At 45.0% G+C, this 27553-nt stretch overlaps 1 protein-coding gene across 6 annotated transcripts in view, besides 10 other annotated features; it reads left to right on the top strand.

Annotated features, from left to right (window-relative positions):
- Window positions 7601–8101: an enhancer, noted in NCBI's record as "H3K4me1 hESC enhancer chr11:11643492-11643992 (GRCh37/hg19 assembly coordinates)". NCBI's record gives its function as "activates a minimal SCP1, AML or CMV promoter by ChIP-STARR-seq in primed H9 embryonic stem cells {active_cell/tissue: H9 hESC(primed)}" and the evidence as "EXISTENCE:reporter gene assay evidence [ECO:0000049][PMID:30033119]".
- Window positions 7739–8098: a silencer, noted in NCBI's record as "silent region_3159". NCBI's record gives its function as "represses an Ori minimal core promoter by ATAC-STARR-seq in GM12878 lymphoblastoid cells {active_cell/tissue: GM12878}" and the evidence as "EXISTENCE:reporter gene assay evidence [ECO:0000049][PMID:35858748]".
- Window positions 8041–27553, top strand: part of GALNT18 (polypeptide N-acetylgalactosaminyltransferase 18) — a 351129-nt gene continuing 331616 nt past the window's right edge. For all 6 annotated transcript variants that reach the window (NM_001363464.2, NM_198516.3, XM_011520071.4 and 3 more), the window contains exon 1: window positions 8041–8687. In NM_001363464.2, coding sequence (NP_001350393.1) covers window positions 8453–8687 — 235 coding nt within the window. In that variant the 5' untranslated portion in view covers window positions 8041–8452. The remainder of the gene's footprint in view (window positions 8688–27553) is intronic.
- Window positions 8219–8298: an enhancer, noted in NCBI's record as "active region_4458". NCBI's record gives its function as "activates an Ori minimal core promoter by ATAC-STARR-seq in GM12878 lymphoblastoid cells {active_cell/tissue: GM12878}" and the evidence as "EXISTENCE:reporter gene assay evidence [ECO:0000049][PMID:35858748]".
- Window positions 8509–8558: an enhancer, noted in NCBI's record as "active region_4457". NCBI's record gives its function as "activates an Ori minimal core promoter by ATAC-STARR-seq in GM12878 lymphoblastoid cells {active_cell/tissue: GM12878}" and the evidence as "EXISTENCE:reporter gene assay evidence [ECO:0000049][PMID:35858748]".
- Window positions 8849–8928: a silencer, noted in NCBI's record as "silent region_3158". NCBI's record gives its function as "represses an Ori minimal core promoter by ATAC-STARR-seq in GM12878 lymphoblastoid cells {active_cell/tissue: GM12878}" and the evidence as "EXISTENCE:reporter gene assay evidence [ECO:0000049][PMID:35858748]".
- Window positions 8949–9018: a silencer, noted in NCBI's record as "silent region_3157". NCBI's record gives its function as "represses an Ori minimal core promoter by ATAC-STARR-seq in GM12878 lymphoblastoid cells {active_cell/tissue: GM12878}" and the evidence as "EXISTENCE:reporter gene assay evidence [ECO:0000049][PMID:35858748]".
- Window positions 9191–10160: an enhancer, noted in NCBI's record as "H3K4me1 hESC enhancer chr11:11641433-11642402 (GRCh37/hg19 assembly coordinates)". NCBI's record gives its function as "activates a minimal SCP1, AML or CMV promoter by ChIP-STARR-seq in naive H9 embryonic stem cells {active_cell/tissue: H9 hESC(naive)}" and the evidence as "EXISTENCE:reporter gene assay evidence [ECO:0000049][PMID:30033119]".
- Window positions 9299–9528: an enhancer, noted in NCBI's record as "active region_4456". NCBI's record gives its function as "activates an Ori minimal core promoter by ATAC-STARR-seq in GM12878 lymphoblastoid cells {active_cell/tissue: GM12878}" and the evidence as "EXISTENCE:reporter gene assay evidence [ECO:0000049][PMID:35858748]".
- Window positions 9599–9738: an enhancer, noted in NCBI's record as "active region_4455". NCBI's record gives its function as "activates an Ori minimal core promoter by ATAC-STARR-seq in GM12878 lymphoblastoid cells {active_cell/tissue: GM12878}" and the evidence as "EXISTENCE:reporter gene assay evidence [ECO:0000049][PMID:35858748]".
- Window positions 16293–16462: an enhancer, noted in NCBI's record as "experimental_19011 CRE fragment used in MPRA reporter constructs". NCBI's record gives its function as "activates a minimal promoter by MPRAs in K562 erythroleukemia cells, with activity observed for both the introgressed and non-introgressed 11:11635216 variant alleles {active_cell/tissue: K562}" and the evidence as "EXISTENCE:reporter gene assay evidence [ECO:0000049][PMID:34662402]".

Genomic DNA, 27553 nt, shown 5'->3' with positions numbered 1-27553 from the left:
GTTTCATTGAGCACAACCTTAAAATGCTGGATCAACCTATTTAGTAGTTGCTGGAGACCCTGCAATGAAGTTAGGGTGGGATGGCGAGGATTTGGCATGTCTGTCAAACTACTTGGGGACATGGAGTCTTAAACGCTCTATTCTGAAGTCTGTCACCTCTCTCATCATGCTTGCAGATGCCTAGATAAGAGAGCCTATGCACAGTGGAGAATTATTAGCAAATACCTAGACACAGTGGGTTTGGGCCATGTTAGGAGGGTGATTATATTGGTCTCTGGAAATACATCGTGCGACATCAGCCTATTCATTGGCACCTGCTGAAGCTGTTTTATCTGGAATCATTTGAGTGCTTTGTACTTTTGTGCATCTGCCGTTTGTCTTGAAACTAAGTTTATACAAGTCCTTTGATGACAAATTCCACTGCTCTCTGAGGATGGGCTCTGGGCCCGCTGCAAATGCAAGCTGTCCCAAGCTTTGGTCTCTGGCTCTGTCAGAAGAAGCAGATTGTCGACCATCTCCCAGCTGCTTCTTGCCACTTGCAATTTGTGCTTTCTACAGAAATCACTCTGTTCTGAACAAGCCAGTCACCTCACTATTGTGAGAGGTTTGTGTGTCTGCTGAATATTTTATTTACCATCTGGCTGGTCGTGATGCGCGGAGAACATACTTATGGGCCAATAATGTCCTGGACCAGTGTATACTAACCCTGAAAAGGTCACTTGCTTCTCCCCATGCCTGGCAGGCACCCGCAGTCCCTCACACAGGGTCCTTGCTATTTATTTGAGGCTCTAGGAATGGGAGATGTAAGGCAGTGGAGGGAGCTTTCTGCCCTTTTTACCCAGGCATCAAGGTGGTCACCAGGTGTTTTCCTAAGAAGAGGGGCATTTCAGCATCCAGCTCCTTCTCGTGCCTTCCTGAAACTCACATACGAGTTTTTAGGGAAGCACCTTCCATGAGTCTGAGGAAATCTGTGACTATTTCTGCCATCAGTAGGGGCTAAAGAAATCGCCATTCCTTTGCCCCTACTTCACCAACCAGATTCTCTCTTTTGAAAGGGAGGAATTTAATAGCACTTTTCCTTGTTCGGAGGACAATAGCTAATTAGGGCTTGAAAGTGCTTCTGTTTTTAACAATCTCCTTTGCAGGTGCAAATAATTCCAAGAGGCCTCTCCCTTTTTGCATTTTAATTCCCTCATTGAAGATAGATGTCCCTTAACAGCTACTCAGGAGGGAGGCGGTAAATAGAAAGAGTACTGGACTTAGGAGTGCTCTATTCTTTTTATTCATCAATGCTTTGCCACTAGATACAGTTTGCTCATCTATCAATTGGGCATATTACTAATTTACCTTGTAAGGTTATTTTGAAAATCAAGACGTGTGAACAGTGCTTCATGGATTGCCTGTGTACCGGCATGCCCAGTTTCTATTGTATAGGAAACTGATAATCCTTTAAGTAATAAAACATTTAAAAATACATATGTAACCCCTAGGCCACATATATATGCTCTATAATATATATAATTGTGGATTGAGAATAAAAAAATGCTATATGTTAAGTCCTATTAAAACTAACATTTGTTGAATGCTTACCACAACTTAGTGCCAAGCTCTACAAATTTCATTTCATAATCGTCACAACAACCCTATAAGGAAGACGCTACACTGTACAAATGAGGAAATTGAGATCCAAGAACTTAACTAACTTGCCCAGACTCACAGAATCAGTAAATAGCAGATCCAGAATTTGAACCCAAGTCTTTTTGGTTACATGTGTGCAACCTGAGGACTCTACTGCTTTCCTCCTCAACATGTCTTATCTCCTACACAACATCCTTTTAAAGAGAAGGAAGCCAAACTCTTATAAAATGTTTCACTGCATCTGAATAAGCAGACAACCCTATAAAAATACTATGTAAGGCCAGGCATGGTGGCTCATGCCTGTCATCCCAGTACTTTGGGAGGCCGAGGTGGGAGGATCACTTGAATCCAGGAGTTCATGACCAGTCTGGGCAATATAGCAAGACTTCACCTCTACAGAAGATTTTAAAAGATTAGCAGGGCATGGTGGTGTGTGCCTGTAGTCCCAGCTACTTGTGGGGGTGAGGCGGGAGGATTGCTTTCAGGCTGCAGTGAGATATGATGGCACCATTGCACTCCAGCCTGGGCAACAGATTGAAATCCTGTCTAGAAAAGAAAAAAAGTTATGTACAAATACATGAAACCAAACAATGGCTCCGAGTGAGGAATAAAGTGGTGGCTGATAACATCCCTGTTCTCACTACAGGGTTATATACCTTGATGATTTATTTTATGTTTCAATGGGAAACACTTCTCTGGGCAGCATAAGTAGCTCAAGAATCTTGTATGTTGTGTGTGTATGTGTGCATGTGTATCTGTTCCCTTTGGTGAAATCTTCTTCCCACAGTATTTTTCTCTTCTCTATGGCCATAAAGCATAAAGAATGGCCATTTTCCTGCCAATGAGAATAGTCATTACGAATGTCAAATGTTGAGTTGTGCTTGGTGTGATGTGCTCAAAGCCCATTGGTGTGTAAGGCTGGACTGGTTTATTTGCTAGGTGTGGATTATTATCCCTATTTTGCAGGTGAAGAAACAGGCTTAAAATAGTACAAGACTAGCTCAAGTCACAAAGCAGGATTGCAAGCAATGCAAAGCAGATTTCACTACAACCAGAAGAATCGCTTTTGAAATAAAAACAAATTCTAATTTCAAAAGCATTACATTAAGAAATATTTGTTGTAAAAATTCAGAATTACAGTTAAACATGATAAAAAGTTCAGAAGTTGGTCACTACCTCTAATCCTGGTTCTTTTTCCAAGGAAAGGCTATGGTTAACAATTGCATATGTATCGCTTCTCAGATTATAATGTATATTTAAATCACCTGGACATTTTGTTAAAATGCAGATTCTGACTCAGTAGGTGTGTGATGGGCCTGATCTACTGACTCTCTAATAAGCACTCAAGTGATGCTGATGCCAGTGGTCCATGGACCATGCTATGAGTACAAGGTCACAGGGCAATGTGCATTTTTATTTTCACTGTTACTGCCAAATTACATTCTGAAGCAATTGTATCAATTACCAACAGAATATGGGAGTAGTACTTATTTCCCACGTTTTCTCCAACACTTGGAAATTTCCCTATTAATTTGTTTTTCTCAATTTGATAGGTGAACTGTGATATCTATGGTTTTAAAATGTATTTTTATTTTTTAACAAGTTTTTTCACTCTTTTATATGTTCATTGGTTATTTATACATTCTCTACTTGTCTGTTCATATTCTTGACTCATTTTTCCATTTGGATATTCTTGCCCCTCTGTTTTAGTGGCTTATATGAATTCTTTATATATTTTGGTTTTCAATCTTTGGTCTGTTAACTATCTTGCAAATATTTTCCTCCGGGTCTAAAGAAGAAATTTTTACCCAGCAGCATTGTCCAGTGACTGAATGGAAGTGAAGCTGTTCAGAAGTTGCATAACCACTTGCTAGGGAGGAATTTGGTACCTCCCTTGACTTTTTGTGCCTTCTTTCTCATATTAATAGAATATCTCAGAAAAGAGCTTATCCTACTGTATTATGGTTGTTTATTTTTTGGCCTCATCCATTCAACAGTGATCTCTTTGAGGGCAGGGATGAGGGTCTGTGAGTCACCTCTGTATTGCCAGTACCCAGCTTTGGGTCTAGCACAGAGCAGGCACTCAGAAAATATTTAGTGGATGAATCAATGGACAGAGGGTTAGATGGGTCTTGTTGCTGGATTCCGGCCAGGGTTTGCCCTGTAACTCAGCTAGGAGTTGTTTTGGATCCTTAAATAGGGTGACAGAAGAGGAGCAAGAGGACCCTTTGCCCCTAGTTAGAGGAAAGTGCCCTCTGGGTGGCTTGTCTTCCCTCCATTCATTTGCATGTTAGATACTCTGGTGCTCAGAGACAGCAATAATGACAATAGCCAATACATGTAGTGCCTTTAGTGTGCTTTGTACACATTAATTCATTGAATTCTCACAACTTCTCCGTGAGGTAAGCAGTATCAGTATTATCTCCATGTACAGATGAATAAACTGAGGCACAGTGTGGTTAAGGAATTTTCCCAAGATCATACTGCTAATAAACGGCAGAACTGAGATATGAACCCAGCTGTCTGGCTCCGTAATCTGTGCTCAAGAGAGAACATGAAAAACACTAGGCCTGGTACAACGTAGGCACTAAACAAACGTTTCTCTCTTCATTTACCATCCCTCCCCAAGAAGTGTGCCTTTTTTGTTAATGATATCTCAGACCTGTAGCTTGGCAAAATCCAATCTTGGCCCTACTTTTCCTCTGTAGCTTTTGTCTCTGAACCATACATCCATCCTTGCTGGAAGTGCCAACAATCCCTGTTCTCCTAGGAACCTGGCAACCCCAATTCCCATGCAGCCAGCACAGGGATTGAGGCTTTCCATGATCCAGGCCTGTTTTTATCCTTTAGCACCCCCAAATCCTGACACTCTGGCCCCAAGGCTTTGCATGGTGCTGCCATCTGGAAGGTACAGATGACCACTGACAACCCTCTCTGAAGAGTGAATGGCCATTGGCCAAGACTGGTTCACTGTTCGTCTTTAAACCTCAGGTCAGGGTACCCTATGCAGAATGTAATCAGTTGGTGGCTGAATTCCATTAGTGACTGGCCTTCTCTAACTCTAGTATCAAAGGTATTTTGAATGAAGGCTTAGTGTTGGGGGAGTCACAGTGTGGTGGTACTTATGCGTAGGAAGTCCTATTCAGCTCGCCCTCAGTCACATCAAGAGAAGAGCTGCCTACCCAATGTAAAAGATGGGTGAAATCCAGAGGCTGTAGTAGATAAGCTTTATCAAGAATCTTCAGCCCCATTGTATATGCCTCAAGGCACTCACTCTCCTCTTGTGGCAGGAGTTAAAGGAGACCCTAGATTCTAACTCTCAGGATAAGTTTGAAGAACTACGTTGTACTGGAGTCTCTGCTAGGCCTGCTTACACCTATTATCTGATTAACTCCTCACAATGATCCCCAGCAGGAGGCAGGATTTATTTAAAGTAAAGGAGAGGAAACACTTAGGAGTTAGATAAATGACCGAACTTGGGAATCAGAAACATCCTTACAATCCAAGGATGATTTTTAGCAGCTTCCTGAGCTCAGAAAAGAGGCCCGTATTGACACAATGAAACTCAGACTGGATCTACCTATCTGGAGCAAAATGGGCAGAGGCTAGGACAACTGGTCATTTACACAAAACCTCAGGAGCACAACCATTACTTGTAGGATTGGATGTATGGTAACTGAATTCAGGACTAAAGGTATGAATTGCTACCCAGGTATTGTTTACGAGGGAGCTTGCAAAGAGACTTTTTTCTGACCTGTGACTGCAAAATCTTTGTGAGCAAAGCCTTTATGCCCCCTCCCACTTCCTTTGTTTGCAACCAAGGGATTAGGGGTCTTGAGTGGAAAAGTTGAAGGTACTGGGGGTGACCAGTACCTTGAAGAAACCAGCCTTTCATTTTGAATATTTTATCAACCTATGCAGATCATTGTACTACTGATGGTGAAGACAGACATTATGAATAGAAAGCCAATGTGCTGGAGCCCAGCTAGCGACGATGAGATGAGCCCCTTGGTGCTCATAGCTTTAGTTCCTGTTAGCTTCCATTAGGGGAGAGAGGGCTGATACTGGTAGGTAGAGAAACCAAGTATTGCTAAACAGCAGGATGGAGGTCACGGAGCTGAGCTCTGGCCTGGAAAGGGAGTGACCATATCTGGAAGGAAACTCACATGATCCTAACCACTCACTATGTGTCCTGCACTAATTAAAGCCCTTTCTGGAACATTCTCTCAGTTAATTTTCACAGCCTGTCCTCAGTAAGGTATTGTCTACCTACATTTGATACATGGGAGAAATTGAGCCCTACTGACTTTTTGAAATGTGTCCAGGCTCTCATAACTAATACATGGTGGATCTGGGATTAGAACCCTGGAGTCTGCCTGCACCTCCAGAGAAAATTCTTTGAACAGGTCAACTCAAACCTGTGACTTTTCAGAGAGGAGAACCTGTTCAGCATTCTTCTTTTGTTGTATTCATCCCCTCTACAGTTACACATTATCTTAGAGGATCAGCTGTACAAAATTTAAGATCACACAATTCACTTTGTTTTCTTCTTGACCCTCATTTTTTTAAACTTGGGATTTAATTTTTTTCCATTAAGAATGTGAAAAGAATGAGTATTGCCTTCTCTTTCTAGTCCTGTGGTGGTTTAGGAAGATCCCAAGAAGGGCTGAACTTCCAGGGCTCCTCCTGGGAGAGGGGGCAGAACAGAAGGAAAGATTACACCTTAGCCTGTACTCAAGGGCATTGCTTGTAAGTCTGTCCAACCAGAAGAAAGTTCAGATCCTTTATTTGTGAGCTGGATTATACCTCTGGAAGAGAAAAAAGGGAGAGACAAGTTTTACTCCCTCCTGGAGGCAGATTTCTCTACCTTGATTTTTTCAGAAATTGTGTACATTCTCTCCTCTCATGTATGTATCTCCTACATACCATACACACGATTCTTCTCCCCCTTCTATACCCCAGCCCACGCCAACCCACACCCACTGTTCTCTCTTCCAGCTATGGATCAAGGGAAATCTTCCCGGGTCCCTAGTTGGTATCTGTTTTCATAGCATCTTTGGGGAGGTTTTGTAAACAAAGCATTGGTAGAAGGGCCCTTGGCTGATGGGGCCATAAAGTGCCCTTTCTTTGGTTTTGTGCTCTCCCTCTCTTGTGGGGCCAGTCATTTGAATCCAGAAGATATCCCAGGATGGAGCTGCCCTGAGTATTTCTGTGGCTGGTTGGAAGGCTGGCACACAACAAAGTGGGCATGCAGCAGGCTGCCTCCCTGGCTTAGGCCAAAAAAATAAAGCAACTCAGAGATGGAGAAGAGGCAGGAAATCTATGTTGTAAAAAGTCTTTGTTTAAAGGAATTCCGTTCAGGTGCTGAGAACGGGGTGTTCAGCAGAAGAGGATAATATGAGTAAACATTGGCAGTAAGAACAAACACAGCAGTATCACTGTCTGCGTCTGGCCTCCTCCTGTGCTCAGTCACAGGTCTCTCCCACCGCCCTCTATGATAGCAATCATAAACAACATGTAGAAGGGCTTTACAGTTCACAGACCTCAGTTCCCCTCAGCGGCACTTCCTTGCAGGGTTTCTTTATGCACTGGATGACCCTGGTTCCACATAAATGAAAACTGGGCTTAAAGGACACATCCATGTCCTGGGAGCTGTACAGACTTAAAGAAAAACCTAGATAGGGGCAAAAATTGGGGCAGGCGGTGGGGGTGGGGGGTGGGGGGTGGGGGGGGGGAAGAAGTGGTCGAGAGAGTCATCTAATAGGTCACCAATGTTGCTTCTGGGAGGTTGCCGGAGGGTTGGCTCCTTTCAGCCAGGTTTAGGGCCAGGTCTGGACACACTCAGGAGGCCGGTGGCTGAAGGGCAGAGGGCAGGGTGGAGGCCCAAGTGAGGCCAAGGAAGGAGTGGATGCCGCTGGGGCTGGCACTTCCTTGGCTTCTCAGCGTCCTGGCAACCAAGAAAAGATTCCAGGAGTCGACTGGTGGCACCAATGCGAGAAGCCCCGGGCGGATGAAAGAAGCTGACCCGTGCGAACCCCCCACCCCCTCCACAAAACCAGGAGATTCCTGCCCAAGAGCAAGAGATGGAATTCCCCTAACGGAGGAAGCTGCCGACCTAAGGGCTGGGACTGGCAGCGCGCCCTCTCCGGGAGCTTCAGGTCTGGGGCAGCCTGTGCAGGCGCGGGTGGAGGCCCGGGCGCGTCCCTGGGGGCGGGAGCCAGGGGCGGCCAGCAGGTGGGGCCTGGGAGCTGGACTCCGCCCCCCGCTCCCTCCCCGTTGGTCCGCTGCCGCTCAGCACCGGCCCCTCTCCCGAGCCGGAGCGCGATTGGTGGCAGCGCTTGTCGCTCGGAGGGGGCCGGGCCGCTCTGCTTCGCGGCTCTCCCCGCCGCCGCTGCCGCTGCCGCTGTTCTCCTAGCAGCGCGGGCCGGTCGGACCGCCAAGGCAGCCGGCGCTGGCGATGGGAAGCGGCGTGGCCGCCGACACAGGCAGTGGCAAAGTTTCCCAGACGTACACATCTGGACGCGCGGCTGCCGGCTACCCGTGACCCCTCTAGGAAGGGTTCAGGGATTTTTAATTTGGAAAAAAATCCACCTGGTTTCCTTTGTCAAGGTCTCTCCGGGTGGCCAGCGGCAGGAGCTGCAAACTTGGGCACGGCGGCTACACCGGCAGCGGACCGGGCTTTGGAGAACCTCGGGACTCAGGTGCTGAGGTGCCCAGCGGCTCCGGACGTGCTACGGGGTGCGAGCGCGGGGGAGTTCGGGGCGCACGACAAGGAAGGGCCCCCGGGAGCTCTATATGGAGGAAGGAGCCCAGAATGGTGTGCACCAGGAAGACCAAAACTTTGGTGTCCACTTGCGTGATCCTGAGCGGCATGACTAACATCATCTGCCTGCTCTACGTGGGCTGGGTCACCAACTACATCGCCAGCGTGTATGTGCGGGGGCAGGAGCCGGCGCCCGACAAGAAGCTGGAGGAAGACAAAGGGGACACTCTGAAGATTATTGAGCGGCTGGACCACCTGGAGAATGTCATCAAGCAGCACATTCAAGGTACGGGCGCCCCGGAAACTTGGGTCGCCCATGAGGCCCGGGAGTGCCCCGCGCGGCGCGGGGTGCGCTGGGGCTGGTGCGCATCAACTCAGCCACGGCGGGGCTCTGGGGCCGCAGATGCGTGGTAGTCGTGGGGCCTGCGTGTGAGCTCCTGCCTGCGTTCGGGACCTTCTGTCTGCGGCCGTGCGCTCTTCCCCGGGGCACACGTGTGTGCGCAGGGCTGCACGAGCGGATGTGTGCAGCTAGCTGGCGGTATGGGGGCGCGCTGCGCACGTGTCCAAATGTGCGTGTGACTCTGGGCTGGTTGCTCGCGGGCTCTCGGGATCGCACACAAGTCCGGCTCAGAGTGTGTGTGCATGTGAATGTCTGTGTGTGTACAAGAGGGAACGCGCGGGCAAACGAGCTTTTTTGGCCACTGTAGGCGTCAGGCGAGATGCCCGCGCGGCGGCCCTGACTATTGGCAGTTAAGACCCGCAGGCTGCCGGACAAGCGAGGCTAGGAAAATTGCGTTGTATCAGCCCCAGCCCCAGTCTTGCTGTGATCCCGTTGGTAGGCGATAGGGAATGCAAGGAGCCCTCTGTGGTTGAAAAGCCGCTTGAACCTATAGCAGTCCCTACCCCCACCACAGCCCGCGGGTCCAGGACCCTCTCCAGGAGCAGGTGTCAACGCCGGGAAGTAGCGCTGGAGTCTCTGTCCACTGTGGTGATGACTCCGCCCAAGACTGGAAGAACACGCCCTGGGCTGCGCCTTCCCCGCGGAGCCGCCCGGGACCGGGTGAAGGCCGATCCCTACTGTAGCTCCACTCTCAGGCCCTGGGAGCAGCCGGGGCTGAGCAGACCTGGGTTGGGTCTGAAGTGTAAGGTTACGCTGGTTGGGTGCGCTCCAGACCAGCGCGGGGGTCCAAAGGGAGGGTGGGGGTTGCAGGGCGCTCTCCCGAGGCGACCTGGTCAATGAGCTGTCATGGGAGGGAATGGAGTTCCGGGCGCCAGGAGCACTGGTGCCGGGTGTGCACACACACACACACACGCGCGCGCGCGCGCGCTCACGTCCACACTTCCTCCCCTCCCCGCGCCCCCTGCTTTCTTCCAGGTGTGTGAGCTTCTTAAGGGCAGGGCCGAGCTTGGTTCCCCTGTAAACCTAGCAGGCCCACCAGGCTCAGGGGCCAGTGCATGGCAGACCTTGGCAAAATCGAATTGAACTGAAGGCTTACCCCCCACCCCCCCGCCAGGAGCACTCCCTTTTGTTTACACGTGGATGTCTGAATTCCAATCCTTGCACCTGCTGCTCTTGCCAGAGTAGAGATGGCTCCTCCGTCTGAATTTGGTGTTTCCCCAGGTGTCCAGAATAGTTCCTTTCCAGGAGGGGAAGGTTCAGGGAGGTTCAGGTGAGTGCAGGAGAGGCATCCACATCCATAGTGCTTCCTGACTAATGACTTCAAAACAAGCCCATGGCTTCGGCACCTTCCCAGAAAAGAGGGACATTGACAGCTTCTTCTTCAGACCTGCCTCTGCCTCTCAACCTGGCACTGGGCTTGAAAACCAATTTACCTATCTGTGGGTGCCAGTTGCTGTTATTTCTTACGTGTCCTTTTCCATCCCATAGGTCTTGATTGACTATTAATCAGCAATAGAAGTACAGTGTTTCCCCCAGGGTGATTCAGAATGTTCCCCAGGAGACACAAAGCCATGCCTTACTTTGACATTTCTAGTTTGCCGACAGATTTTGAGATTTTCATTCACAGATTCTGTGTGTGTGTGTGTTCCTGGAAAATGATTCTCTTGTGCTTTTCTTTCTGGTCAGGCAGGAGGTGAGCAAGGTACTGCTTTGGGGATGCTTTCAGGGGATGCCATTAACCCCTGAGCCTGTAACGGAGTGGGTGCCAGTCATGTGGAATGTGGACCATGTCACATGATTTCTAAGGTTCCACATGGAAAAGCATGATGTTGAAGTTGAAAGGAAGCATTGTGATTTTTCTCCCCGGAAACTTTATAACTATGTGTTGTTCAGCACTTTCAAATCTATACCTGAAAAATTGGAGAAGATAGGTTAAAAAAATAGGAGACAGGGTCCCTAAAACACGTGTTGTTCCACTTGTACACGTGCAATGACCCCTGTGGGTATTCAGAAATAACCACAATCTCGACAGAGGGCCAAAGCTGCCACCTATAGGAAGGTAGGGAAGGGTCAGTGACTTGGAAAGACTGGAAATGAGGCAGGCAGGGGCAGAGGTTACCAGGTTGGCTGTGCCATGATGGTGTAGCAATGACCAACAGTTCCCTTTGCCATGCTGGGGCCATCCTGAGCTGGGATTTAGGAAACAGAGGTAAAGGGCCTATAAAATTTGGGGCTGGTCAAGTGCAGCTCTCTGAAGGCAGAGGGTGGTAAAGGACAATAAGATCAAGCTCTTGTGCTTGATGGTACAAGCTGTTTATGTGTAACCCACTGTCAAGTTCCCTCTAGTCAGCATAGCCCTTTGAACAATCCAGTTTACTTTGCTGAACTGGAGGGAATAAGCGGTAATAATAATAAGAGCTAAAATAACATAGCACCTAGGATATGTCAGGCCCTATTCTAAACACTTTACATATATTGACTTATTTAATCTTCACAACCTTATGAAGTAGGTAATATTTGCTCCATTTTACAGATATGGAAACTGAGGCAGGGAGAGGGTATATGATTTGTCCAGGGTCACACACTGGTATATGATAGTATAGGGATGTAAGCTCAGCTAGTGTGGCTTCAGAAGTCTAAGTTCTTACCCACGTACTAAACTGTCTCCCAGGAGGGCCCCAGGGTCCCTTGGAGTCTGTTGACAGTGGTGGAAGTGGGTGTCAGAGGATGGCTGAGGGGTGAGGGAGTCAGCAGCCTTCCCACTTGGAAACTCCATAGATAAACTCAGGTTTTGCTTTGTTTCATGCCAAGAGGCAGAGGTTCCAGTCCTTTAACTAATGTTTACTGAACATGCAGGACAGTCCCTGGCACATTCTGCAGAAAGTAGCTGTGGGGTGGAAGCGTGGATGAATGGATGAGTGCTGATGCCTATGGCCACGTTGGTTATTAATGAAAGTGTTACCACTCTCCAAAAAAGGTGTTTTGCTTTGGAGTCTTGTCCAGGCTCCTCTTTTTGTTAGAAGGAAAGTCTCCTTGAAGCTGCAAATGTCACAAAATGTTCTGCAGGATGTTCCATAGGACTTGCAATTAGAAGAGGCTTTGGAGCATCACCCCAGAGGTCTGTTCTAGTCATGACTGAAAAGTTTATTTTCGTCTTGGGAGTTGCAGTGATATTTCATTTTAATTTGTTTTCTGATTGAATGATTTAATTAGATGGTGTTTGGGAATCTCTTGGGAATGTAAATTGCAGTTTTGGGAAGTTTTTTGACCAAATAGACGTTAAATGAGAGGGTGGATAACTTATGAGTTTTTAAAAAAAGCATCCTGGGGGTTTAGAAACACAAAGTAAATGTTAGTAAGGGTCAGGTTCTCTCCATCTTAGGAGTAGAAAGATCTGATGGCTTGACACGGTGAGGCGGATGAAGCAAGAATCTGCTAAAGGAGTTCTCAGTGTTGGAGAGTGCAGGAAATGGAAATGTTGATTCAGTTCTTATTTTGGAAATTCAGTAAAAATAAAGATAGCTTTCTTCTTTTCTTAGTAGCTTTCTGAATATGGAAAAGAATGTGCCAATGTTTAAGAAAATATTTAAAAATGCATAAAATTGCCCATAATTCATTCTACCCTAAAAATCAGTTTGCATTTTGAGCATTTCCTTCTGGATTTGTTCATTTGCCTCCATATTTCAAAATGAAGGTGTAGTCATGATTTACATGTAATTTTATATTCTGCTTTGTTCACTTTCTTTTTGTTAACGAAGCACTATTTTTTCCATATTTGCTACATAGTTTATTGGTTTAACATTTATCTGTTGGAGACCTAATGTGTGCCAGACACTGCACTGAGAAAGTGATTACAGTGGTGAACTGTATACTAGAGACACTCTACAGGAGTATGGGCACTCTTGGTCCTTGTCATAGCGGACTTGTTTTCAAAGGACAAAGAATCCCTTTTAGTCAACGTGGTCAGGGCTTGAGTTAGTTAATAGAAAAATTGGTTAAAGAGGAGAGTACAACAAAGTATTACATACATACAATTAAATATTTTTATTTTAATGTTTTCCAAAATGTACATTCATTTGCTAGACTTTTGATATCAGGCCAAAGTTCTGTCTTTGGGATGCATCTGCCAATTGGCGTCCTGTTCATCTTCCTTGCACAAACCACTCCCATAATATCCCATAGTTCTGTTTTCTTTAAAATTCATTGGAAACTTAAAGGTGCTTATGAAGCAGTCTCAGTGTAGTAGCCTAAATTGTTACGATTTTTGTCTGATCTTTTGCAATGATTTTGCTCACATGTAATTTGATTGCTATTCTTTAACTGACTACCGTTTATAAAACCTTTGCAAAGCACTTAGAACTTAAAGTAATTTTCTTAGAAACAACACTCATCTTTTTAGCCGTCATATTTCATTGGTTTATATAATACGTGATTAGGTTATGCCGTTACAGTGACAAGTACAAATAGTGTAAACACGTTTGAGAACAAACCCAGTGGACCACTGGTAAGTGTAAAACTCAACTATTTGCAGGAGCTGTGGGCAGTGGTACTAGAGACAAATAGGGTTTGTTACAGAGGGAATGGCAAGCATAGTTAATCTGGAGAATTGATTAAATGGAGAGTTTCTAAAGAGAACTTTTACTGTATTTTTAATGACTGCATAGTATTCTGTCATCAGTATACTATTATTGATTCAACCACTTTCCTATTATTGGACATTTGTTTTGCTATTATAATTAGAGCAGAAATGAACATCTTCACCTCACTGTTTTTTGAATTATGTTTAAGGATGTCTTTCCAGAAGTGGGATTAGTACTGACTCAAAGAGTCTGAACATTTTTATGAAAGATTGTTTTTTCAGAAGGAAAGGCTTTCTTTACAGCCACCAACAGTGTCTTATTGTACCAAAGTCATGGAGCCTGGCCAGCATTGGGTGTTATCATTCAAATTTTTCCGAGTAAATGTAATCCCTGTCAAATGCTCTATTCTTTTGATTTGTACTCCTTTGATTACTCTAGAACTTAATATCCTCCCCCACCCCTGGTATTTGTTTTATCTTGTGGGACTATTTGTGTCCTTGCTTATTGTTCTCTAAGACTATCAGTGTTTGGCCAGGCGTGGTGGCTTATACCTATAATCCCAGCACTTTAGGAGGCCAAGGTGGGAGGATCACTTGAGCCCAGGAGTTCAAGACCAACCTGGACAACATGGTGAGACCCCCATCTCTACAAAGAAAAAAAGAAGAAGAAGAAGAAGAAAAAAAGACTCAGTGTTTGTGATTTGTGTATTTTACAAATTTTTTTGATACATAAATATTTTGCCTGTATTATATGTTACATACATAATTTTAATTTTACATAGATGCCTTAGGGCAGTGGTTTTCAAACTGTGTACCCAGGAGACCTAAACTTGTAGAAGGTTTGATCTGGGGCCTGAGAATTAAAAGGGTTAAGTGGGGTCTCCCAGACTCTGCCTGTAGGTGCTCCCTCCCCTCCCTGCAAACAACAAAACTCCACTGTCTTCTGTTTTCTATTTGGCATTCTATAAAATATTTCATTTTATAAAAAGTTGTACTTCTTTAAAAAAAAAGTTGAAAATAACTGTTTCAGGAAAAGAGGAAAGATCAGACTGTTACATTTTTGTGAGGGATGATGGTGGTATAAACAAATTCAGGAGAGTAAATAAATCTAAAAGGAAATTGAATTTCTGGGTGGTGTTCTTGTAACATCTATTTACCCTTCTGAATACCATGATTAATAATGTATTACATTATGTGACTAATTTCTAAATCCGTTATCTTACTTCATTGAGTCAAGATCATCCCAACAATGGAGAAATGGGTTATTAACTGCATTTTGTTTCCTGAAAGTTTGTTAGTCATATTATGTGCATATTAATGTATACCAGGTCAGTAACAGCAGGTTGTTCGCCATGACTACAAATCATTTATGGTTGCTAAGAATCAGCAGATGTCCTGAGCTTGGATGTTTTTCTGTCTCCTATAGCTTATGGATGTTACTTAGAATTGGCTCGTGTTCTTCTCATCTGAGCTTTGACTTGGCAGCGTTTGTGAAGAAGAGGATATGATGTTTGCTGAGTGCATGGAGTTTATTTGAGGAAAGAGTGTCATTTAAATAGTAAAGCTATTTGTCCTCTGGAATGAACTGTTGCATGTGAAATTATATTAGTAACAGTGATTGACATTTTGAGAGAGTTCAATAGCAGGACTTAGGAGTTGAGCCTAATTACCTTTGTTACTAGTTCAGAACCACAGCTTTATGAAGAAGAAAAGCCTTGCCAAAGGACACAACTTTTCCCCGTGACCAAAGAATCTTCATTTTTAGCCAGAAGTGTGTAGGCTGTAAAATAAATGAATTCCACATTCTTTCCCACTCACTTGACATAAATTGTTATTTTCCCTTGATAAGTAGGTTGGTGGAGAATCTCAAGGAGAATTCAGAATGAAAAGTGTCAGAGAGCCACGTCTGGTTTTGTCATTTATGAGGGCCTTGAAGTTCAGCTTTAGTCACTTGGGTTAGGCTGGCCTATGTTTTCCCAAAGGTATTTATGGGATTCAGAGTCACAAACAGGGTTACTGGAGCGTCTTCATTACCATCGTATAGGATTTCTGACCTCACTTCACTTGAATAGCTGAATGTGCTTGATATGCTTGAATGTTTGTACCCTCCAAATCTCATGTTGAAATGTGGTCCCCAGTGTTTGAGGTGGGGCCTAGTGGGAGGTGTTTGTATGAATGGCTTGGTGCTGTCTTCCTGGTAATGAATGAGTTCTTGCTGTATTTGTTCATTCAAGAGCTGGTTGTTTAAAGAGCCTTGCTGCTCCTCCTCCCTCCTCCTCCTCCTCCTCCTCCTCCTCCTCCTCTTCTTCTTCTTCTCCTCACTCTCTTGCCTCTCTCTCTCACCCCTCTCTCACTATGTGACATACCTGCTTCCCTGTTACCTTCTGCTGTGATTGTAAGCTTCCTGGAGTCTCCCCAGGAGCCTAGCAGATGCTGGACTTCGAACAGCTTGCAGAACTATGAGCCAAATTATAAATTTATAATTTTATAAATTACCAAGCCTCAGGTACTCCTTTATAGCAATGCAAAATGGACTAATACAAAGCTATTGTCTTGATTTGGGTCTTGAGGGTCTCCTTTGGTTTGTGGCAGAAAGCCAAGCTTGGCTTTTTGTTAGCTGGGTTCTATCTGGGAGATGGGGACAGACAGGCTGCCCTGTGGAGAAGCACATTGCCAAGCAGTACAGCTGGAGGTGATGTTACACAGAAAGTTCCTGGAGGGAAAACCCGGCTGAATGTGAGTGATAAATGTAACCAGAAGGCAGCATGGTGGGCTTTGGGGAGAGATGGAATTATGCATGAAGCGGAAGGGCAGAAGCCATACAAGTTGGATGACACTCAAGTCAGGAGCAAGAGGCAGAGTGACTGAGGTCCACTGGTGGCTAAGCCACCATCAATGAATGGTGGACCATGCTGTTTATGCTGGCCTGGAATGTCTCTTGAAGGGTGGAGCTTCTGCCTTGGATTTGGCAGGGATGTGGTCATTTCATGGCTCCTACAATTGTTATTGAATCTCACTTGCCTTTGGGGTTAGAGTCAGCTCCATCTGTAATGCAATGCTTGAGCCCAGGGGTCCTTGATGTTTCCCCCTTCCTCACACATAGGCCTACATACAAGGCATGTGCCCTAGGGCAGGGCTAGGAGGATGCACCTCCTAACACATTGCATTCATTCTTACTCCACCCTTTATTTTCCTACTTGAGAAGGCATATTAGTATGCAAGGGAATGTAACAACCTTGAAATCCCTTTAATTTATTAGAGTTAAAGCTAATCATTCATAAGCTTTGGTACTTAAATTATTGTTACTCACTAATTACCTCACAACTGCTCCACAGCACAGTATGTTGTGGCAGTGATTGGGAATGACTGCTGTTCTGGAATCTTCTCTGTGGATCTGTATACCTTTTATAGATCCCCTGTAGTTCCAGTGCAGCCAACTGGAACTTTAAGCAAGAGGATTCCTTGTTATATGAACACTTAAGCTTTGGTGGTTTTTCTGACTACACGATTATGGATTAAAATATGTTGCTAGACAGTTCGTCCCAGTGGGGATGCAGTACTGAGATGTAGTTCTCTTTCACTGCCTGACATTCAATTTCAGTTTTTGGAAGGTTTATTTTTGGGAGATGAAGCTGTCCTTAATGATGCTAGTGGAAACCCCTGAGTGTCCAGCCACCATAAACATTCAGTGGCTTCCCTTATGGAGCCACTGCTAAAATGGTTTTAGAACCAACAGGCATACTTTGCTGGGCTACTTTCCATTGCCACCATCCTTTAAGAGCTCACAGAAATACAGTGTTTGGGAAGATCCAGAGAAGTGGCATCTGCACTCTTCACCTTGGGACAGGTGAGAACAATGAAAAATGATGCCTACAAGGAGGCTTGTGGCCAGTTCTTTAGCGTGAATAGGTTCATTCTACAAATGCACTGAGTTTAAGTCTCAGAGCAGAGTTCCCTGATTAAGATTGTTGAGTGCTGCATCTTAACAAGCTCTGGTGCTTTGTTGGGCTTCGCCAGTCTGACTTGTGCATCCATCTCTGTCCCCTGGGAACTTGGAGTTAAAGGCCATTGAGATCCCAGAGGAGCAGGAAGGTAATTCAGGGACTCTGGCAAGACAGGATTCGAAGCTTGGCTTAATAAATGTTGTGCTAGCGGCATCTGGGGATTTAGGAGAACAGTACCAAAATTGCTTAGGCCAATGGATATGAGAGTTAGAAAGCTAAGGAGAGATTTGAAGCGACAAATGAGAATCCTAGCTAAACCCTTGATTTATTTTAAGAGCAACAGGCATATAGAGAATTAAAGATTGATTGTATCAAGGGAATGGAGGAAGAGAGCTACAGTATGCTAGCAGGTCAGGGACTGGCCCAGGTGCTGCCCAGGCATGATTACTTATTTATTTATTTCAATGAACAAATAAAATTGTAATTTTTAAAATTAGTGATTCCTTTTCATCTTCACAACATGGTAAGATTACCTTTTTTCTTACCTTTTTAGAGGTAAGAAAATGAAGACTTAGAGTTTGTTCAAGGTAGGTCACAGGGCTGATGGGTGGTAGAGCCAAGAAGGGAAACTGGCTACAAAACCAATGCTCTCTACAGAATAGGAAGGAGGATGAATGTTTCTCGTAGAGAGGAATGGGAGATCATCTTATCAAACATGGTGTTTGAGTGTAAGCTCAGAGGCCTCAGGTCAAATGGGAGGCCAGGCAGGGGCTTGGTTTACATTTGTGTCTACAAGGAACCTGGAGGGTAGGGTGGGCAGCAGTAGAAGGCCCTGGTCTGGAAGGGTGAGGGAGCAGCCACCACAAAGCTGTGGACAGCCTTTTCTCCTAGGTCACTGTGGGGCCTCCAGGAACTGGTCCTTGTCAAAAAAGCGGAGTGTTCCAGCTGCAGACTAGAGCTCTTTCAGATTCATTGTGACTTCTGAGCACCCAAAATGTCCCAGGCACCGGGCTGAGTGCTTTCCTGTGCCCTGGCATAGTCACGTGTCTTTCAGGGTGACCAGCTTATCCTGATGTGCCTTACACTTTCCCTGTTTTAAAACTGAAAGTCCCAGGTCCAGGGAAGCACCCAATTCCCTGGGCAAGCCTGGATGGTTGGTCATCTGAGGCTTCTCACAGTGGTGAATTCTCTGTTCCATGATAACTCCTAGCAACGGGGTAAAAATAGCCTTTCTGATGGTGCCGCATCCGGTCTTTGCTCTCTGCTCTTGAACGCTGACTTGCTTGAAGGTTACAAAGAAGAAGGTGAGGGTCCACAGCCCCTTCCCCATTTTCCTTGCCCACACAGGCTGCCTCCTCTCTTTTTTGTTATTCCTTCCGCTTTGGCATTCTCTGGTTTTCAACTGTCTGAGCCTCTCAGGATTTGGAAAGGAAGAAACAATTGCTGTAAAGGAAAGCTCTAATAAAGTGGTTTGGGCACAAAACATCAGCAGCTGTTTATTTGCCCAAAACAGTAGGAGTCCATATTAATAACCTTGTGAGTTATATGCTGGGAAGTTAAAAGTAAGCAAAAATCTTACTTGAGACCCACAAATGTAACTTTATTCCTTTATTGAACTAATCTCTCTTTCTGTTTATGCTGGTGACATTTTCTATTATCCAAGTGGAAGATCCTTTTTGATCTTCCATTACAGATTTATTTAGCTGTGCCTTGGTTAGCATCCCAAGGCAGAGGGGTTTTCTGGTTTCTCTATTGCAGTTATAATGCTTTGTGTTTATATGGTTCATGCCTCAAAGGATTTCAACAAGCGGGACAGGCTTTGTCTAATTAATCATCATATTTCCCTGATGGGAGAGAAGGAGCTGCAGAGGAAGGGAGGGTCTTGAGAAGGCTTCAGACCTGTCAGTTCATGGGCTTGGAGAAGTGAGTCTTTTAACATTTTGGTTTCTTCCACTTCTAAATCTCATTTTTAATAATAAATGGATCCTCTGATTTGCATTAGTTTCTAAGAGTAAATGGAGGAAGGTATAACGTGGGAATTATGACATAGAATGTCCAACTCGATAACTGGGCCAGGCCTTTTATTTTATTTTATGAGAACCTGGGGATTTATATTAGAAGAAGAATCCAATGGAAAGTGCATAGAAGAGATCAATCAATCAAGAATGGGAAAAAAAACCAGTGAGGAAGGACTATAGAAAAATAGGTCTGAATTCATCTGGAGAAGAAATGGGAAGAGGAAGAGAATTAATGTTTGCTGAGCACCTGTGATGTGCTAAATACTTTACACCTGTCACCTCACCTTAACCGCATAAGCAGGCCTGTGGGATGGTGTTATTATCCCCATTTCACAGATGAAGAAATTGAGGCTTAGTGACTGTAATGAGCTTATCCCAGGTTCAGCTGCTAGTAACAGATAAAAGCCCATTACCACTGTTAAGCTCCTTAGCAAGGGGCTAAGGGCCCTCTTGTTTTTCTGCTCCAGTAATGTTGATCAAGAGAAAATAGGCTCAATCCTTTCTTTTAGCAGAAACGTTGAGACTGGAAGAAAACTTTTTGAGAGTTGTGAAGCCCTGAGGTGGGTTACCAAGTGATTATTTTGGCAGCCTCCTTTCCTGGAGAGGCAGGAAGACTATGCCAGGAGCTGACCTGGGCTCAGCTCTCTGGAAGACTGAGAGAAACTCTAGGTATGGCATTTTGCAGCCAGCTGCATCATTTTTTCCCCCAGGAGCAGGCTTAGCATCAACAAGATCATCTCCTCCACTCACTCAGGCCACAGCTTTATTTTGGGGGTCCTCTAGGCTCAGGGCATGGGGTGGGGTAGGGGACCATAAAAGGGGGACTGGTCTACACAAAGTCAATAGCAGACATGGCCAGCCCTTCCAGGAACTTCCCATTTAATTGAGGGAATGGAATATTTGGAGTTAAACGTATGAAATGGTGGGCCCCTAGCTATTGGGCAGTTATAGGAGGTGGACACCAAGGCTGGCATTGTTTATTGTGGTGTGGGAATGGGAGGAAATAAAACCACCATAAGGAGTTGGGAGAAATTGCAGATGTGCTTCCAAGTTCCCACTCTCCTCAGTGTTGGCTGGAAGTTTGACAGTGACCTGGGGTGTACCGCTGCCTTCTTTTGGTATGTGCTCAGATTCTTCCCCTCCTTCACTGAACAAGCGTTTATTGAGCACCTGTGCTGGGGATGTATCAGTGGAATCAGAGCAAAAATACGAGGGACTGCAATTACATGAGGAGGTGGTCAGGGGCTCTGCTATAAGCAAAGACTTGAGGAAGGTGAGGTGTGCGCCTTGTGTATCTTAGAGGAAGAGAGTGCCAGGCGGAGGGAACAGCCAGTGCAAAGCCCCTGTGGCAGGAGTGTGCCTGAAGTGTTTGAGAAACAGTGGCCAGTGCGGCTAGAGCAGGGTGATGGTGGGAAAAGGGGGTAGGGGAAGAAGCCAGAGAGGGGCGGGTTGGGAAGCTGGTTGTGCAGCCTCAAAGGCCACTGCAGATGGAATGCTCTGGAAGGACTGGGGAGCTACCAGAGGGGGTGAGCAGAGAGGCATCAGTGCAGGCTGTTCTGTGGCTGCTTCCTGGGTACTTCTCTTGGGCTTGGCATTGTGCCAGGTATGGTGGAAAATGATAGAAAACATGTGACATGCTCCTTTTCTTTGAAGAGCTCATAATTGGGCTGAGAAGACAAAACAAGAAACAGTTAAGGATCTTTTGCAAGCTAACTCATGTAATGAGGGTTAAAATTGAATTCCAGAAGAGCGAATTGTCAGAATAGACTTCATGGAGGAATAGGGACTAATGACACATCTTTGAAGAATGAGGAGGATTTAAGGGAGTGGAGTAAGAAAGATTTGGAGAGGGCAAGTTTAGTTATGAAATAAAACCAAAAATTACCTTCAAGAGGGAAGCCTGAGCGTCTCAGTGAGTGTGGTGGAAGAGAGTGTGCAGGCAGTCATGAGAATCAGTGCTGCTATTTACAGTTTGGGTGACCTTGGGCAAGTCTCTTCACTTGCAGGGCCTCAGTTTCCCCAAGCATAGAAATGAAGACAATCGGCCAGGTGCTGTGGCTCACGCCTGTAATCCCAGTACTTTGGGAGGCCGAGACGGGTGGATCATGAGGTCAGGAGTTTGAGACCAACCTGACCAACATGATGAAATCCTGTCTCTACTAAAAAAAATACAAAAATTAGCTGGGCCTGGTGGCAGGTGCCTGTAATCCTGGCTACTCAGGAGACTGAGGCAGGAGAATTGCTTGAACCTGGGAGGCGGAGGTTGCAGTGAGCCGAGATTGCACCATTGTACTCAAGCCTGGGTGACAGAGCAAGACTCTGTCTCAAAAAAAAACCAAAAAACAAAAAAGACAGGCGAGCACCCCCACCCTGTGTATCAGGTAGGAGCTACCGGGGACAACAAGTTCCCTTTTTCAGTCTTCCTTCATTCCCTCTTTCCTTCATCCTTGTTGAAGCTCACATAGAAAATACGGTCAGGAATATATTTTCTGGTTGTAACACCTAGTATATCAGATTTAGCCCCATTTCATTGCAATTAGTTGGGACTTTCCCACGTAAGTCAAGCCTCAGATGGTCATAAGTTAGGCTCCAGGGGAGCCCAGACTAATGCTGGTCACATCTCAGCTGAGACATGTTGGAAGTTCTGCTCCAGGGCATCTTGGTGTCACTGACCGCTGCTCTGAAGTTCTGAGCCCTCCAGACTGGGGACCTGCCCTTGTTTGTGGAGAAATATTTGTTTTGTAAAACCTTTACAGATTTGTTTTGTAAAATCTTTTGTAGAAACTTGGCATTGCAGTGGGCAGCAGACAATGCCAGGAATGTGCTATGTTGGTTGAAACCTTGGCTGGTGGAAGAGTCATGCAGGGTGTCTGGTTACCTGGTGGGTTAGTCTCATTTCCTAGCTCCTTGGTGGAGAGTGTCTTCTTGAGGACAGATTTTTCCCTCTCTTCTAACTCAACTTTCAAACCAAATTGAAGCCACATCAGCCTATCTTCCTGCCAGGATGAATTTGATTTAACTCAGAGCAATGTGACTTATAATTTCAATTGCAGGCAGGAAGGTGTGATTTAAGACAATTGTCAGGAAGATTCAATTTAATCTTTTCTTTCTTCCCCCTCTACAAAATGTGCATTTTGTTGCATGATATAATTTTGATATACATTCTTTACAATTCAGAGATAGATGTAGTTCACACTGGGAAGGTACATTCCATACTTTTTTATAGCACTTATCTATTTAAAGTGTTTTTAAAAAAGATTTCTTTCTAATGATAGCAGAAAACTGAGGGATGGTTTTGCTTCTTTACTAGAGAGAATTGTAGCAAATCATTCTGAAACTTCCCAGGCAATAAACCATTTCTTGATTAACAGGGGTTATTTTGGTCACTTGTTAAGATACTCGTCTTTAATGAAACAATAAAAATAATTATTTCATTTACCAAAATGGAGCAATTGTGAGTTTTGCTTATTTTTCAACAAGAGCCAGCTGTTTTTAGCAAAATAGGCATAAGTATTTTCGAGTTTGTAATTACTTTAGAAGCACAGAAAGTATGCATTGATTTTTGTAAACAGAAAATTAAATGTCTTCTTTCACTCTGGTCAATAGTGGAAACTTCTAGTATTGTGTTGCGCAGCTCAGTGCAGTTGCTTTCTCTTTCCTCACATATCAACAAAGAAGGGTAAACCTTCCTACTTTTGCAGTTCTCACATCATATCCCACTGGTGAAGGCTCTTGTCTGAAGGCTCTCTAGTTAAAATCAGACCATGTTAGAGTTGCAAATAACATCAGCATCCTCACCCTCAAACTGTTTGCTGAAGGATCCAAGACCCAATGCAACTTGAGGACTACCCTGAGGAGCCTCTACTGGGTCCTGGAGGCCCTGGATAGGGTCTAGGGATCCTGATTTGAAGTCTAGACAATTTTCCTCTACATCCAGTTACTTCCCTCAACTTCAGGAGAAACGTGTGCACCAGGAAGGAAAATCCTTACTTGTTTGTCCTCAGATGAAACCAGGTGCTTATGGGACAAAGAGGTGGGCAGCTTTTCAGGGTCTCCCTTGGATGGGATCTCCTCTCCCTGGCCTGCTGACCAGAGCCTGACTTCGGGTCCAACAGCTCCTAGTGATGCTGCCTCCGTATCTGGGAACAGAGCTTCTTCTCAGCCCCTCAAACCAGAGTGATGATTCGGATAGAGGAGGGGCAGATATTTTATGTCAAGGAGAGGAAAAAAGAGAGAAAATTCACATTTATCAGCCATGTACCAGATGTTTAGCACTGTTTAATCCACTTCATATTATTTAATCCTTAAAATAAGGCTGTGAGATAATTAGCCCCATTTTACAGATGAGAAAATCATACTGTCCTGTAATTATTAGTCTGCTTTTCTCATTAGACTGTGGGTTACTTAAAGGTGGAGACTGGGTCCGGTTTTTCCTGTTTTCCAGTTTGTCACACAGTGCCAGGTATACAGTAGGGGCTAGGTAGGAGTTTGCTGAGTAAACACATGAATAAATAAACCAGCTGCCTAAAACCTCTCAGTAAGAGGTGGTGCTAGGATTCACATCCAGACCTCTGGCTTTAAGACTGCCTGGAAGGGAAGCCCAGGGACAGAAGAGCTGGTTTTCATTCTGGCTTTGGGGATGGCTTCTGAGAGGCTGTTCTATGCTATGCTTTTGGGTCAGGGACAGGAACGCTCATGCTTCTGGGGTCTCTCTCATAGCCCCTCACAGCTGACATTACTGTGTCAAGATTTAATCAAAGGGAAGCTGAAGCTCAGTGGTGTGTGTGTGTGCGCATGAGCGTGTGTGCAGTGTGCTTTCCACACTGAGCTCTCCCAGGGATCAGCTGGTGAGAGAAGCCTGAAGCCTTCAAGGGACCCTCGACATCTTCATTTTAATAAAGCTGTCACTTGTGGTCACTTTCAAACTAAAACAATCTAGTGGGTGCAGAAGGTAAAAAGTAAACTGCACGAAAAGCAGAGAATAATGCCAGAAAAGATGCAGGTAAGCAGGGCATTTCTGCTTCAAGAGGAGAGACAGCATTGAAGTCATTTTAATTGACACCTGAAGAGTCACTAGAAAGGAGAAAGCATAGCTTCATTTTCAAGAAAGGAAACAGAGTGCTTGGGACCCCAGAGGTAAAGGGAAGTTGGCCTCTGGCTTTCCCTCTGAAGCAGAAACAGAGGGCCTCCTGTTCACCCCGAGGTCTGTGAGAACCTCAGAATGGACTCCACCACCTGTGTCTTCAGGGTGGCGGTGACTGGCGGCCTGGCAAGTTAGGACTTGCTGTTTCGCACTCAGGAGACAGGTGTCGGGAAAGGTCTGCAGTGAGGAGAGGGAGCTGAGAGAGGGCAACCCGGAGATCAGAAGAGGGTGTTTCTTGCTTGCCTGTGGAAATCCCTTGAGGAGATGGCCCAGGTGTCAAGGTGGGCAGCCTGGAACTCCAAGTTATCTGCTGGCCACCTGGGGAATCACCCACCCATGAGTGTGGGTCTGAGTTTGGCACCACAGACCCTTCTCCACTTTCCCCAGACAGGAAACGGACACAGTAAAAGTTCCTCCTCAGACTCTGCCTGTCGGGACAGCACAGCCCATTAGCCGGAGCCTCAGACAACTATGATTTTTCTTTTCCTATTATTCTCTGATATTTTCAATTTGAGAAGAGTCATTTAGGCAGTAGCGTGGAAGAGGGCATAGTAGACATAGGGGAAAAATTGAAAATGTCATTTAAAAAGGACTATTCCATTCTTTTTTTTTACCTCCGCAGACTCACGGCCAGGAGCAATAGCCAGTGGGTCAACCGAGGAGAGCAGTGATTTTATTTTCCTTTTCATTTCAAACAGATTGTGTAGCCTTTGGGGTGTGGGGGACCAGTGGAATGAAGCTATGGGCCGGGAAACTAATTATGCCTCCCTGCATGGCTGAGCTAGTTAATACCAAACTGTCATTGAGGCTGATTCTTCCCTGGGGCAGAAAAGCTTCCCAAATTCCTTATCCCTTTCTCTTTGCCTTTTGGGTTTTGCCAGTTTGAGAAAACAGGAGCAAAATCCAGGAAGCTTCTCAAAGCTCTGAAATGGTGCTCTGCATTCTGGTTGCTAAGGCTGCATTCTGATCCACATCACCCTTCTCTCCGCCATGCAGACTTGGTGCCAGGCGGGGTCTGGAGTCACTTGGACTTGCCTCAAATCCTGGTGCTGCCTCTTACTGGTGTTGCCAGAAGCTGCCTGGGTGTCTAGGGCTGGATGTAGATCGCTTGTCCACCCTGTCCTTCCCCACTCTCCAGCAGTGTGGGATCAGGAATGGGCTACCTGAATAGTGAGCCTGCCTCACTTCACTGATTCTGAAACTGAGACCCAGCTGTGTGGATGGCGTGGTCAGCACAGTGCCACTGATGGAGACCATGCACAATGAAGGAGAATAAGACATTCAATAATGCTCTTAATGGATTTTTAACTTACTAACCAAACCAACACAATCTTTGAAAAGTGGTATCTTAGTCTATTTGGGCTGCTATAACAAAATACCATAAACTGTGTGGTGTATTAATAACAGACACTTATTTCCTCACAGTTCTGGAGGCTGGGAAGTCCAAAATTAAGGCATAGCGGATTCTGTGTTTGGTGAGGGCCCAATTTCTTGCTCGTAGATGGCACCTTTGTGTTTCACATGGTAGAATAGACAAAACAGCTTTCTGAGGTTCCTTTCATAAGAACAGTAATCCCATTCATGAGGGTCCACCCTCATGGCCTTATCACCTCCCAAAGGCCCTACCTCCTAATTCCATCAACTTAGGGGTTAGGATTTCAACATATGGATTTGGGGAAGGGATACAGACATTTAGATCATGGCAAGTGGTTACACATATATGCATAAGACACATTTATTTATGATAGCAAATGTTATGCTTTGTAATAACTCTGATTTCAGTAATTTCTGTCCCCCTTTTCCCCTCTTGGGAGACCTTAGTCCATGCAGTCCCCAGCTAGCCAGATGTCTCAAATAACACTGGATCCAATAAAATCCATAGATCTTTTTAGGGAGAGAAAATGAGTTTTAAATATGGAATGGAAACATTTAAAAATATAGCCTTTGTGGCAACATGAAGATTATGAATATTCAGTTTGGACACAATCTCAAGCAATTAGGCAGATGCATATTTCCAGGGAGGGTATGTTGCTCTGATGGTTGAGGGGGTGGGTGCTGTGTATCATTTCAAAACTGGATTTCCTTGCAGACTTCAAAGTTTGATTTTAGGAAAATATGGGAATGAAGTCTCAGAGAAAGCCCTATACATTCCCCCACCTTTGGCAGGCCACACTCCCTTTGGCCACATACATACAGTTAGGCTTTAGCTGAGAAATCTGCTCAGATCTAGAAAACTCTCTAGATTCTGAACGCTGAGGTGGTAACTGAGCCAGTGTTGGAGCAAAACAATCTGTTTACAGCCTTGGAGGACGGTTCTTATGTGGCAACACTTAGTCTTGGCTGTTGGGTATTATTTGTTTACAGCCCAGTTTTCTCCATGTTGAATTCTCATTAGAAATAAATTGTCTTGGGAGAAGCACCAAACACAAATTGAAGTAGTTGATGGGAAGACATAACTTAGAATTGCCTCCTTTCAAAGAAGACTTTGTACCAGCCAATAGTCCCTTTGAACTTTTCAGGATAACCAGAGTTTTTAGCAATTTAATATTCTCAGGTTATATGGGACAACCCAATTTTAAATATTCTGATCTATTTTCCCTAGAAACCATGTAAATGAATCATAAATTCTAGTATTTCCCAAGTTTACCACCCATTTTGACTCCTGTACCTGGAAGCAGCACAAAGCTCTTGCCAGACCATACACCCTTATTTTTAATTCAGAAAATATGGTCAAAGTGAAGTAAACAGAGCACTGATCAATAGAGCCAGCTGTTCTCTAAATGATTCTCTCTTTTTTTGCAGTGCAAATCACAGGGGGTTAGGGAAGAACTGGAATGGCAGTGTGAGGAGCTCTGTGGGTCCTTTGCCCAGTGAAACAACATAACTGGTAAAAATTATTAAACAACACCCATCTAAAGTCCCTGGAAATTGCCCTGATGAGATACATAAAATGAAGAAACACTTATTCAAGAAAATCTACTAAATTTTAGTAATAACAAGAGTCTGGGACATTTGAGCCATAATTGCCCTTCCTCCCCCAATTCCAGCTCAATAAAACAGAAGCTCTC

The sequence above is a fragment of the Homo sapiens genome, chromosome 11 (assembly GCF_000001405.40).
Source record: "Homo sapiens chromosome 11, GRCh38.p14 Primary Assembly".
NCBI classification, from domain to species: Eukaryota; Metazoa; Chordata; class Mammalia; order Primates; family Hominidae; genus Homo; species Homo sapiens.
This window is presented reverse-complemented; position numbering and strand designations above follow the sequence as displayed.